Source organism: Homo sapiens, chromosome 3 (genome assembly GCF_000001405.40).
Source record: "Homo sapiens chromosome 3, GRCh38.p14 Primary Assembly".
Lineage (NCBI taxonomy): Eukaryota > Metazoa > Chordata > Mammalia > Primates > Hominidae > Homo > Homo sapiens.
Window position 1 is genome coordinate 104,513,238 of NC_000003.12, and position 14,003 is coordinate 104,527,240.

General features: G+C 37.1%; 1 long non-coding RNA gene across 2 annotated transcripts in view, besides 3 other annotated features; it reads right to left on the minus strand.

Annotated features, from left to right (window-relative positions):
- Window positions 220-720: an enhancer, noted in NCBI's record as "H3K27ac hESC enhancer chr3:104232301-104232801 (GRCh37/hg19 assembly coordinates)". NCBI's record gives its function as "activates a minimal SCP1, AML or CMV promoter by ChIP-STARR-seq in primed H9 embryonic stem cells {active_cell/tissue: H9 hESC(primed)}" and the evidence as "EXISTENCE:reporter gene assay evidence [ECO:0000049][PMID:30033119]".
- Window positions 2,031-14,003, minus strand: part of LOC105374021 (uncharacterized) — a 40,806-nt gene continuing 28,833 nt past the window's right edge. The window contains exons 1-5 of one of the 2 annotated variants that reach the window (XR_924302.3): window positions 13,536-13,882; window positions 13,309-13,328; window positions 10,012-10,152; window positions 9,432-9,558; window positions 2,031-7,399 (exon numbers count right to left, since the gene is read on the minus strand). This is a non-coding gene — a long non-coding RNA (uncharacterized LOC105374021). Of the gene's footprint in view, window positions 7,400-9,431; window positions 9,559-10,011; window positions 10,153-13,308; window positions 13,329-13,535; window positions 13,883-14,003 lie in introns of those variants that run through there. The other variant, XR_007096271.1, reaches the window with a different exon arrangement.
- Window positions 8,548-8,827: an enhancer, noted in NCBI's record as "active region_20191". NCBI's record gives its function as "activates an Ori minimal core promoter by ATAC-STARR-seq in GM12878 lymphoblastoid cells {active_cell/tissue: GM12878}" and the evidence as "EXISTENCE:reporter gene assay evidence [ECO:0000049][PMID:35858748]".
- Window positions 9,324-10,523: an enhancer, noted in NCBI's record as "CDK7 strongly-dependent group 2 enhancer chr3:104241405-104242604 (GRCh37/hg19 assembly coordinates)". NCBI's record gives its function as "activates an origin of replication core promoter dependent on BRD2, BRD4, P300/CBP, MED14 and CDK7 cofactors, with strong dependence on CDK7, by STARR-seq in HCT116 cells {active_cell/tissue: HCT116}" and the evidence as "EXISTENCE:reporter gene assay evidence [ECO:0000049][PMID:35650434]".

The following is a 14,003-nucleotide window of genomic DNA, read 5'->3' on the forward strand; positions in this document are numbered from 1 at the left end:
TGTTACAGGATTCCTTTGGTGCCACTTCTCCTGCTGGAAGTCCCTGCAGCTGCCATGATCTTTTTCTGGGGCCTCACTTGGGCTTGCTGGTCTTGCTCTAACCACTCAGTCTGGCAGGCTGTGCTCGGCTCACAGCTTGCCCCAGATCCCACACCAGAACAGAGACACCATGCTCAGCCCATGGCTGGACCAGGGGTACAATGAGTGGCTTCCACATTGGGCACCTGTATTTAGACAAGGGGAATGTGGTGGCACTCAAAAACTCAGAGATGCCAGCAACCATGGAGCCCCAGGTGGTGTTATAGCTTTCGCCTGGGGATTCCTGAACTCTGAGCCTCCAAGAAATGTTTCGGCTTTTGTAGTACAGCAAGCCAGCCAGGAGGGAATGGTACCCAATGGCTTCACTTCTTTGAGCCCACAGCTAGGAGAATGGGGGCATATTACAGCTCTCTCATTCCCATTGCCCACAGCTCTGCGAACAGGAGGGTTGACACTCATTTGTTCCTGCTGCCTGAAGCTCAGCGAGTTCTGGGCTCTTGTTCCAAAACCAAGAGGAATAAGGTGCATGGGCACCAGAGAATGAGTAAGGCAGAGAAGAATTTTAAGTGACAGAAGGAAAGTTCTAAAATGTGAGATGGCACCCTGAAGTCAGGTTGCCATCAGCTGCAAGAGGGAGCCCAAAAGTGGGTAGCCCTTTTTGCAGCTGAGTCTGGGGTTTTTATGGGCTCATAAAATAGGGGAGTGTGTGCTGATTGGTTCATGAGTGGTCTTAGAAAAAGGACCATTCAATTGGTTAAAAGGCATCGAGGAAGTTCTCACTCCGGTCATGGGCTCTCTGTGGAACCAGCAGCTTGTTTTTCAGGTTTCAGGCTGTCTTTGGCTTGAAGACTGGATTTCTCTGGGGACACGTCCTTGTCTGCCTAGGAATTTGTCTGTCTCCTGTCACTATCCATATGAGACTCAAACAAAAGCCAGATAATTGAAGTTTTTATATTGCACATAAAGGAATAAAGGCTTGAAATACGGTGGCAGGATAAGGGTGGGAGAGGGAGGAAAGATGTTGTTAGCAAAATGTGTCTTGCTATGCATATGAAGCCTGACAAGTAGCAGCCCTCAGAAAGAATAAATGGTAGTCTCTGTTAGATCTTTAAAAGTGTTAAACTTTCATTCTCCTTCTCCTGTGAGTTAATCTTTCCTAGATTTGGATAAGGGAAACTCAGAGAAAGCTTCTGCATCTGCTATTGACTAATGTAGATTTTCTCTACAGATGCAAATCTCCCCCACAAGGACAGCTTTTCAGAACTATTTCTGTGTCTGCAGTCCCTCTAAATAGACATTTCGAAATATGCCAAATATATTTTGGGGTGTCATATTTTGGTTTCCTTGAGTCCCCCATTTGAAACTTTATTTCCAGAAAGTTTCACATGTTAAAGTAAAATTGGTAGCTATGGTGATTTCTTTGAATTAGAAAATTTAAGAAAAGAGATTGGCAGAGGGGAAGAAAACATAGATTGGAACAAGCAGAATGGAAAAATATTGAGTACACTGCACCACATCTTCTTGAATCAGTATCTTAGTCCTAGAATAAGTCAGTTAAGTTAAATAATTATGTCTTATTTCAGGAGGTAACACTGCAGATGTACTTTTTCAAGGTGAAGGCTCTATGTCAGAGATCCCCAACCCCTGGGCTGCAGATCAGTACCTGTCTGTGGCCTATTAGGAACTGGGTCACACAGCAAGAGGTGAGCCACAAGTGAGTGAGCATTACTGCGTGAGCTCAACCACTTGTCAAATCAGCGGCAGCAATAGATTCTTATAGGAGCCTGAACCTTATTGTGAACTGTGCAGGTGAGGGAGCTAGGTTGCATGCTCCTTATGAGAATCTAATACTTGATGATCGGAGGTGGAACAGTTTCATCCCAAAACCACACTCCCCCACCATCTATGGAAAAATTGTCTTCCACAAAAATTGGTCCCTGGTGCCAAAAATGTTGGAGACTACTGCTCTACATGGTGCAAGCACACACATATTTTACTAGAGATTTTTATTTGGAAACAAAAACAAAGGTTAATAATGTCTGCAGCAATCTTTAAGTTAGTCTCTGAGTTTGGAGGGTAGCCAGTGGAGAAGATTTTTGAATCTGGGCTGAATCAACTTCAGCTGGACCAGGGTAATCAATGGCAATCTGACAGAGTTATCTACTTTGCTGTTTAAATGTCATAAAGGTTGTCTAAACACAGGCCACTGTGGTGGTTTCTCTGGAGTCTGTTTCTCAACTATACTCACTTTAGCTCGTAGAACCTCAGGAAAAACAGTTTTAATTATTAGTGATTCCAAGTCAAAAGGTTGAAAAAAAAATGGAAATGATGTTTTGGAGATTTATAGCCAGATACACGATGAAATTAAAAATATTTGGTATTCAGTCCAGATAACAAATAAAAAATAAAATCTCAAAAATAATTATCTAAAATCTAATAACAGGTGTACTATAATTTTATTCTAAAACACGATTTTTTCTCTACTTCCACCTCCACTTCTACCAAAGATGTCTATGTTAAGACTAATTTGGTTGCAAAATAAGGTTAGTCTTTGGTGTGATTATTTACATAGTTTATTTATACAGATTATTTACATGGTTTAGCAAGAATAGTGATTGGTATTACAGGCTCTTTTTAAAGTCTGCTTTGCTGAAACTTTTTATAAGAAATCTCAAATTAGACTTCTTTTTAAAGCATCTCAAGACTAGGAAACCAAGTCAAAGATATGACCTTGAAATCTCCCTGCAATATCTGTAGTATCTGGATGAATTCCTCTCTGCTTGAGGTTCTCAAAATATCCTGACGTTTCAGAAGCTGCTAAGAAGTGGCACTCTTTACCTCCCTGTAAGACAACCATGTGAATTGTGTATTTAAGGTGCCAGGCCAGTTTTTCCAGGAACCTTTTTATTGGTTCCATAAAGTCAACCTTAATATCTTAAAGCACACTGGTCAATTTTAAAGGTATGACATTATGCTCAAAACCTTGGTAAAATGACCAGTGTTTCTAATTGTGTTCTGTTATACAAGAGAACAGATTCTTATTGAACTTATACAAATAACCATACTGCCATAAAATAAGAATACTCACAAATAGTTTCTGAAATCTGGAGGGGTCAGGTAAAGAGAAAGATAAATGTTTAAATGTTGCTCACAAAAGTATAGATTACCAAATTGCTATAAACCTATAGACAGTTTAAGAAAAAAAGTTTTCTTAACTTTAGAAAACAAAACGTAAAAAGAATCAGTAATGCTTCAAACAATGAAAAAAAGGCATAAAAATTATTTCAGTACAATGTAATTAATTCTTGTTTTGCTTGGTGTTAGGTTGGGAGTTTTATGAACCCATCAGTTTCTTCATAAGAGTTCTGGAAATTCTTATACAGTCCAATGACATGATTCTAAAGTTATCAGAAATCTATATTCAAGGGCACTTGTTAGGGTCTTTCCCATAATTCTCCTTGAAAAATAAGCAAATTTTAGACTGTAGCTGATTGCAAAGCACTTTTAGAAAGAGTATCAGAATAAAACAATTAACTGTGAACAATGAGACTTAAAGTAGCCATGGTTAAAGGTCTTATGGTAGCTTATTATCACCCATAGAGGACAAATAAATGTGGTAAGTTCTGTAGAATGTAAAATTTAACATAATATCCAAAAATTATAACTGACAACATACTAGATTTTTAGTAATCCCATACAGTTTTGGAACACTAACATTAATAACACATGCAGAACATTTAGCATCACTTACCTGACAATGCTTTCCATATAATTTGAAACATTGAATCAGGTTGATTAGTTTAATGTCTGTGCTTTAGGTGTTCAGGAGCCCACTGGCACTCCAAGAGTTATTTTGGCATCAAAAAGACCAAAGAAGGTCCCCAAATTTTGATTTTTGAGAAGTTTACTAAATATCAAATGATTAAAACACTTGATAAAAAATAGAATCACAGGGAAATATGAAATGCTAGTAATTCAGGGTAATAACTAAAATATTTTAGAAGCAAATACAGGAAGTTACATTTTTTGTAGAAAAACTTATCTTTAATTCAGTTTTCCTAAATAATCAAAAGGCCTAGTAAAGATAACTGAGGCACATATAACATGTTTCTCTCTTTCCCTAATTTTTTTTTTCTTTTTGTCCTTTACTCCAAAGGTGAACATAAAGCTTTTATTATCTCTTATTAATACTACATGAATATCCTTAAAAAGCAATTTCTAGTTTTGTATCAGTGTACTATTAATGATAAGTCTCAATTTTAAAACCCTTATATTAAATTTAGTAAATTTTTATCAGTTTAACGACACAGGATTTTTTTTCACTGTCTTTCTTTTCCCAACCTTCTATATTTATTCAGGTTTAGCTCAGTCATTCTTATCTCCATTTACTTATTTTGAGTCAACCTTTAAATAACCTGTACCTAGACAAAATGATTTCTTTCCTCAACAAAAACACGTTTATACCTTATAACATCTTAATTTGCCTGTATATTTTGTATACAGAATTGTTTCCTTTATTATTAGTAGTTTTAAGTATATATATTAATATTCAGTGACATAATCCTAATAATCTTAATTTCTAGTGAAAATCTAGGAAGTAAGCAACTTCAAAGTCACATACCAACCCATTTTATGACTATATACTTAATGACTTCTAGAAACATAGATTTCCTGATAGAACATATTTCCAATGTGGAAAAGGACATATTTGCTAACAAGCCCAAATATATTTTATCTTTCTATAAAATGTAAGATGCCAAATGTAAATAAACTGAAACCTATGTTGAGCAATTAATGTTTCAATCTTTTATCTTCTTTAGAAATGAACTAGATATTAAATGAATAGCCATCATTTAATTTAACTTAGCAAAATTCTAAGGATGTAGTTATCAAAGAGATACATCTTTATCTCACTCATATCTATTTGATTTACTGTTTTTTAAACCAACAATATTAAGCTAGTTTTATTTACAAAAAATGTATTCAATTCATATGAATTTGAAAATAATTTGAGTTAGTATCTATAATTTTAGGAGCCTAAAGTATTTAATATATGCATGTTCATTTGTCTTTTAAATCAATTTGAAATTCAACGAAGGGATTTTGTATCATGTGGACACAACAGATATCATAGATGTATATGTGTATAAACATAAACAATCATACAGATAGATACAAATATCTTATAGTTTTTTTCAAAAGAATGCTATCAAGTCCTAGAGAAGACAGGGTGAGAGATTTACATCTCAAAGGCATAGAGAAAGAACATAAGTTTTCTCAAGGAGCTTTGGGTGCTTTAGGTGAGACAAAGAGGAAGATTTTAAATGAATGCTAAGGTAATATAAAATCATAAGAATTAGAGGATTTTACAATAAAGTACACATGAAACTGCCTTTGCAAAAAATATGACTGAGACAATTATTATAGCGAAAGAGGTTTGACCTAACCAAATCCATCTAGCTTCTAACCTCCAAGCTATCTTTGTTCATTCCTGGGCATAGGTCAAACTAATTTTGGGAGACACTTAGTTTATAGTTTAGCATTGAAATAGAGGTGATAACAGCCCTTTCCCCAAACAAACCCCCTTTCTGCCTGGGGGACCAGACTGTCTTTGCAGGACTATCAGATTATGTAAAAGATTAGAAATTATGGTTTAGGAATCATGCAGTTGGAGGCTGCAAGATTCTAAACATCCCAAATTGTTTCTTGGGATAACATTACTATTGTAAAACCTAAGATCAATGTTTGAGATATTTTGCAGACCCTGCACTTGATGGATCAGCTAGCACTACCCAGATCCAAAAACTGGCTCATCTGGTCTTGTGGCCCCCACACAGGAACAGATTCAGCACAAGAGAACAGCTTCAACTCCCTAGGATTTCACCTCTGACCCAACCAATCAGCAATCCCCACTTTCTGACCCTCTACCCACCGAACTATCTACAAAAACCCTGATCCTCATGTTTCCAGAAAGATTGATTTGAGTAATAATGAAACTCTGGTCTCCTGTACAGCCAGCTCTGTGTAAATGAAACTCTTTCTCTATTGCAATTTCCCTGTCTTGATAAATCGGTTCTGTCTAGGCAAGGTGAACCTATTGGGCGGTTACATACAGATGAACCTAAAAGACAATTCGGAAGCCTGTTTCAAATAACTGTCTGATTGTCAGTTGGGTCTGACTTAGTCATATACCTGAGTCTTTTCTTACCTAAGCATGCAAAGAAATGAAGAAGGTAGAAAGTAAGAATTTGCCTTCTGCCGTAATAACTGGTTGCTGTAACATTGTTAGTTACCTTTAAAATTGTAGCTCTTACCAGTGACTTGTCAGTTATAAAGCAAGCCTTGGTACTCCACCTCCTAAGAGCCAGGAGATTAGGGAGCTTCATATGAAAGATAATAGAGCCTTGGACCTGAGAGGAACTGACTTCTCACTCTTAAGGCTTCGTGAGGAGGAAAAAGAGGGTCAGTGGCACCTTTTCTTCCTTCCTCAAAGAGTATCAAGATGACAAAAGAAATGGGGGCAGAGGTAAAAGGAAGAACAAATCCTAAAGCAGCAAACTGGGGAGTTTTCAAAAAGGTCGATAAAGTTTTATATTATTCTCAGCAGAAATCATGCCAACAAAAAAGGAAGTAGACAGAGGAACGAACATATAATTAAAAGGAGCTTCTGTGGACTAAAAGAAATTCCATAGTAGAAACAGGATCCAAAACAGAAAAAGCAGGGAGGCTTTTAAAAAAATTGTAGCCTGAATATCAGCTTTTAATTAAGTTAATTTTTGACCATAAAGCTCTTAAAAAAGAAATCTTTAAATATCTCATTAGAGGTTTTAGCCAAACAAACAGCAAACACTTCTGTTTCCTGGCTTTTCTTTCCTTGAAATTTGCATTTAAAAAGGAATTATTTCTCAGGTAAGACTGGAGAGAGAATTTACATCTCAAAAGACAAAGAAATAATGGAAGTTTTTAGAAGTTCAGGGTAATTACTAATCAAATTTCTTCTTTTGAATATAAAATTTCCTGTTAGCTCAAATGAGAATGCAGGAAGCAAACAGAAAAAGGAAAAGTTAAAAAAAAAATTATTCTCTGAATATAAACCAAAATCTTAACTAAAGATATATTTAACAAGTGACTCAAGACCAAACTACGTAGCCTCTCTATGGTTGTAACCAAGGACTCCAAAGACGAAACAGAAAGACGAAGTTCTTCCAAGATTCAGACCACTCCCACAGACCAGCCAAAAAATCAAAACTTCACTAGCTGCAAATGAGGTATAACTCACATTTCTGTTTGGCTATATTCTTGGGGCTCCTAAACTTTTGGTTGTCCACCTGTGCATGAAGGCCAGATCATTTCATATGACCTGGATAGATAAAACATCAAAATAAGAGATCAATCAATAAGAAAAAAAACAACAACAAAAACAAAACAAAACAAAACAAAAAAACCAGAAAAATAAGTCATCCACATTAGGGTTTTAGGAGCAGAACATATCCAAGTCACACAGCACCAATGCATGTTCCCGGCAGTAAATCTGTACTGGTCTGCCACAACCTCAATTCTTGCCTCCTCAGAAGAAATAATTCAACCCAGGAGGCATAAGGGGGAAAGAGACAAAGGCAAGATTTAGAGCAAGAGTGAAAGATTATTAAAAAGCTTGAAAGGCCAGGCAAAGTGGCTCACGCCTGTAAATCCCAGCACTTTGGGAGGGCTGATCACTTGAGGATCAGGAGTTGAAGACCAGCCTGGCCAACATGGTGAAACCCTGTCTCTACTGGGTGTGGTGGTGCACACCTGTAATCCCAGCTACTCGGGAGGCTGAGGCAGGAGAATGGCGTGAACCCAGGAGGCGGAGGTTGCAGTGAGCTGAGATCGTGCCTCTGCACTCCAGCCTGGGCGACAGAGCGAGACTCCATCTCAAAAAATAAATAAATAAATAAAATAAAGGGGGTTTAAAGTAGGAATGAAAGGAAGTACACTTGGAAGAGGGCCAACGGGGCAACTTGAGAGATCAAGTGTGCGGTTTGACCTTTTGACTTTGGGTTTTGTAAGTTGAGATGCTTCCAGAATCTTGCATTCATTCCCCCCCGATTCTTCCCCTGGGGTGGGCTGTCTATATGTGCAGTGGCCTGTCAGCACTTGGGAGGGGAGCAGGCACAGTGTGTTTACTAGAGTTGTATGCATGCATACACTTGAGGCGTTCTTCCCTTATCAGTCAAATGTCCCTAGAAAGTCATATACCAGTTAAACTCTGCCATTTTGCTTCTTAATGTGCATGATTGAGCCAACTCCTCCAAATCCTGACATCTTGTCAGGAAGCTATTGATCACCAGTTTCAGGTGTTTCTGTTTATTCGGAGACTGCCTTTCCCTGGCACTGACTGTGAACAATTATTATTTTAGAGAGACAGTTAACAACTGCCTGATCATCACCTGATGGTCACCTGACATTCCTGGTGTGTGTGTCAGGGAGTTGGGGAAGCCCTTTCCTGCTCTCTTCATGTCTGATTAGCTACCTACCGTAACAAGGGGTGGGGATGTAGGGATCATTAATGAATGTCAAGAGTCATACAGATAGTTTCCAAATCTCCAAATGTGTACCTACTTCATCTGTGACTCAAAACTATTATAATAAGCCCTTTTATGGCTTAAAATCAATAAACACAAGAATTTCATTTCAAAAAGGGTACACGCAACTCCTCCCAATATTTAAAGCTCCTCCCAAAGATAGTGAGGGAAGAGAGAGACCTTCTCATATTGTTTTACATTGTTTCATACTCAGTACCTATTTTAAGAAGAAACAAGGAAGTGAAACCAAAGGCAGGCAGCCCGGCACCAGGCACCAGACCCAAAACCAGACCCGAAACCAGGCCTGGGCCTGCCTAGTAGCTAAAAATCAACTCATGCCTTAGCAACCGATGTTATCCATAGATTCCAGACATTGTATGGAAGAACATTGTGAAACTCTCTGCTCTGTTCTGTTTCACTCTGACTACTGGTGCATGAAGCCCCTGTCATGTACCCCCTAGATTGCTCAAATCAGTCACGACCCTTTCATGTGAAATCTTTAGTGTTGTAAGCCCTTAAAAGGGACAGAAATTGTGCACTTGGGGAGCTCGGATTTTAAGATGGTAGCTTGCCGATGCTCCCAGCTGAATAAAGCCCTTCCTTCTACAACTTGGTGTCTGAGGGGTTTTGTCTGCGGCTTGTCCTGCTACAATAGCTCAAGAAAGCAAAGTTGGGCTGGGCACAGTGGCTCATGCCTGTAATCCCAGCATTTTGGGAGGCCGAGGTGGGTGAATCACGAGGTCAGGAGATCGAGACCATCCTGGCCAACATGGTGAAACCCCGTCTCTACTAAAATACAAAAAATTAGCCAGGCACTGTGGCACGCACCTGTAGTCCCAGCTGCTGCTACTCCAGAGCCTGAGGCAGGGGAATCGCTTGAACCTGGGAGGCAGAGGTTGCAGTGAGCCAAGATCACACCACTATACTCCAGCCTGGCGACAGAGTAGGATTCCACCTAAAAAAAAAAAAGAAGAAGAAGAAGAAGAAAGCAAAGACATTAATTGTTAGGCAATGAAGGCTGAGATAACAAAGGCAATTTTTTTTTGAGAACCTACACATTTGGAAAAACAGACATTTCAGATTCCCAGCCTAGTATATGTCTGGCAAATATGCCCTCCTGGGTAGTGAAGACCAGAAAATAAATTTGGGGATTACAAAGCCAAGTTTCTCAAGACACAAAAACAAGATGAAAGGAGAAGCTTATTATGGTTTTTCTCCTTATACCAAACCACACAAAGGACAGAGACAAGAAAAACAAGGACCATTTTTGGATGTTTAAAGATTAATTATCAATAGGTATAAAACAAGTCCACAAGGGACACAAATTTAAAGAACTAACTTTTAAAAATATTTTCTCTCCTTTAAATTTAGAAAGAAGGAAACACGAAAATGGAGTTTCACCACTCACCTGACTAGTCCTAAGGCAGAAACCCAAGGAGGATTACTGGTAAGAAATTTCTTAACTTTTTCTTTCTTTTTGCTGGCGTCTGTCAGTTTCCGTGGTTTCTGGCTGCAGCCTCGGGTGTGGGCAGAGTGATTTGCTATAATCCTGCCAAAGATACCAAAACTGTAGAGAAGTTCAAATTTTCCCCCGAATGTTGAAGTCTGAGTCTGCTGAAATGAATTGACAATAGACAGATTAACAGGAGAAAAGGGATACAGATTTATCAATGTGCACATGGACACGAGAGGTCTATGAATATGAGATTGAAAGAAGAGCCAAATGACAAAGTTTTTATATTTTATAGAAAGAAATTGAGGCTTGGAGCATGGTGACAGGTTATGGGTGAGAGATGGGGAAAAAAGACTTGGTGACAAAGGCTGTCTTTTTATGCAGTTGAAGCCTCGCAGGTAGCAGCCCTCAGAGTAGACAGTAGTCTTTGGTAAAAGTTTCACTGTCAGGACTTTGTAAGTGTTAACGTTTTCATCTCCTTTTCTTGTGAGTTAATTTTTCCAAGATCCAGATAAGAATACCTTAATAAAAAGCCTCTGCATTTGCTATTTACTTTACTAATGAAAGTTTTCTCTACAGATGCAAATCTCCCCCACAAAGGATAGCTTCCAGAGCCATACTTGTGTCTGCAGTCCTTCTGAATAGCCATTTCAAAATATGCCAGAGAATTATATTTCGAGATGGCATATTTTAATTTTATTCTCTCTATATGATTATTAATCACTTTTTATGTTTAAAAAATGAAAAGCAACATAACAAGATTGTAAGTAAATACATTTTAAAATCTTTTGGAATACAAAAACTTATAACTCAACTTTAAAAAAATTAATTTAAATTCATAAAATTTAATCATAACTTAAAGTTATGATTTAAACTTAAAGTTAAGTTTTAAAACTTAAAAATATCTGGCCAGGTGCGGTGGCTTACGCCTGTAATCCCAGCACTTTGGAAGGCCGAGGCAGGCGGATCACCTGAGGTCAGGAGTTTGAGACCAGCTTGTCCAACATGGCGAAACCCTGTCTCTACTAAAAGTACAAAACTTAGCCAGGCGTGGTGGCCGGTAGCTGTAATCCCAGCTACTCAGGAAGCTGAGGCAGGAGAATCGCTTGAATCCAGGAGGCAGAGGTTGCAGTGAGCAGAGATTCCGCCACTGTACTCCAGCTTGGGTGACAAGAGCGAGACTCCGTCTCAAAAAAAAAAATCGTATTTTTATTTTGTATATAATTAGCATTACAAAATAATTGTTAAAAACATAAAATGTTATGTCTGTGATAGTTCAGAGTGTGAGTGAATGAGACAGCTAGGAAATTTAATACTAATACGCAATAAATATCATTTTAAAAAATAAAATAGATGTTTTCCACAGTCTATTCATTCCTATATTTTTTAAAATAGGATAATTTTTTTCCTACTTTGAAAGGACTTCATATTTTTTACAAGTGAAAAATAATTGTATTTCAAGACATCTCATAAATGTATTAAGTTTAGGCTCAAAAAATGGGATAGCATTTGCTTTTGTATTTATGGTTGTGGTTCTTTAGTCAATAGATGATTTTAGCAGCACAATTCTTCCATAGTCACTCTTCATTGACATTATGGTTAATTATGATCTCCAGGACACAAGATGTCTACTTGCCAAAATGAGTTGAAGTTGACTCCTTTTGCCATCGTCCAATGCTTCATCTTTACTCCCCTGTCCACTCAGTGGAAGATGGAGGAAAGGGTTTATCAGGGTGTTGTTTACAACACAGTGTCATAAAGTGATTATTATCAATACTATTTCCTTTCACTTATTTTACCTTGTTTCTTTAGTAGTAGAGATTATAAAATAAATTATCCTCAGATCAGAACCAGATGAAGAGAAATGGAATAGGTCAGTGGCTTAAGAAAATTACATTACAAAAATCTGAATTGCTTTTATTATACATGAAGAGATTGTCTGCCTTCAGTAAGTGAAATGAGAGGGCAAAAGACAACTTAAATTTTCAAGGTTTGGTTAGCCATGTGAGTGTGAGTGTGTGTGTGTGTTTGCACACACAACTAGGCACCACAAGTATCTCCACCACTACAAAGGAAAACCTTGTCTTAGAATAGTTTACCTTTAGTAATGTCAGAGCACTAAAGGCAATACACACTAGACTTAAGGGTGAGTGTGTGTTTGTGTGTGTAAATTAGATGCCAGATTTCAAATCGCATTGTTAGATCATGGTATTTTTTATCCATGTTTTATCTCCTAGGCATAAATTGTGTATTTATGTTATTCAACTCTCAATAGATCTTGGGATGATAGATCACAATAAATCTCAAAGTTTTCAATATGGAGAGGATTTATCTGCAATACGTGTTGCATTTTATTAGTGCTTTGCAGTACATTTCTGTCACTGGAGTAAAAATATTTTCAGTTCAGTAATTAAATAAGATACGCTGCCTTAAGTTATGATAAATAATATATTTATTAATATCATTGTTTGTATATATAATTCTGCTTATAGATGCATGTGCTTAAATTCATATGCATATAAATTTATGAATTAGGCCTACTTTATTACTTCACAAATAACTAGATTTTAAACACAGTTTATATAAAATGATTTCTATGATGAGCACTTCTTTAAATTCAGAACATAATTAGTAACTAAGTATCAGCTCCTTTTTACTTACTGGCATCTAGAAACTTTCATCGTGTAATGCGTATGATCCAATACTGATGGCAAACAACATCTCAATTATCTGTTTATTATTAGTTTCACTTTTTATGAAGTTTATACTCATTCCTAAGACATAAAATCAACATGCCATATAAGCTTGCATTTAATATCCACTACCAATGTAGTATCTAGTACAACCCCAAGTGTACACATATGTGGACCTATAAATATGTAATCACAAATCACCACATCAAGAAATAGTCTCTCCTCACTGTATCTTTAGGGAAATCTTGGATACAGGCAATTGTAAAATGCAGTATTTCACTGTTATGATATAATCAGATGACTAGATTAAATGATGATAAAATGCAGTCATATGTAATGTTTTTTAAGTGTACAAAAAATTCAAAAGCATTATTTTTTCCCAATATTACTCTACCTATTAGTGTTGCTACTGACAAGACAGTAAGTTAGCTGTGTGAAGGCTATCTGAAATCCCTTCTGGTATCCTAATTTTATTCCATATATATGGATTAACATACTATTCTTTACTCCTTATAAAAAGGCATAATGATAAAGTAAAAATAACCTCAGTTCTACTTACATATCTGTTCCAGTGAAGCCCTGCAAGAAAGTAAAATAGAAGTCTTTACTTCATAGATTTTTTAAGATAATGTGCATAACTAACAAGTTGCCAGAAAACCATGATGGCATGATCAATGCTCTTTGGACTTCAGAGACACAGAATCATTTTTATCAAATTAATGCATCAGGCAACAAAAGCATTCTAAGAGAAACTAAAGTATTAGCAAGAAAGAAAAAAAATCTAACCTCAAGGCAGGCTTCAGGGGCAGGTGATATGGGCAGTCACACAGAGCCCAATGCTTAGAGAGGCCCTTGCTTGTTAAATGCTCTGCTGTCACAATCTGAAATGCTTAAAAATTATTGAACAAGTGCTTTCCATTTGTATATTTCACTGGCCTGTGCAGATTAGGTACCCAGTTCCGTCTAACCTCTAAAGAAAATCAGCAACTTTACATAGAGCCCTTAGTTAGCAGATTATTCTAATGAAATTGCCTTGGCAAAAATTGTAAGAGTGAGAAAAGTATGACAGTAAAAGGGATGTGACCTAACTGACTCATCTTGCATCTAACCTCTATGCTGCCCTTGTTCATTCCTGGGCATATGCTGAACTAACTTTGGGAGAAATTTAGTTTATAGTTTAACTTTGAAACAAAGATGATAACAGCCCTTTCCCAAAAGAAACTGCCTTTTTGCATGGGAACCAGACTGCCTTTG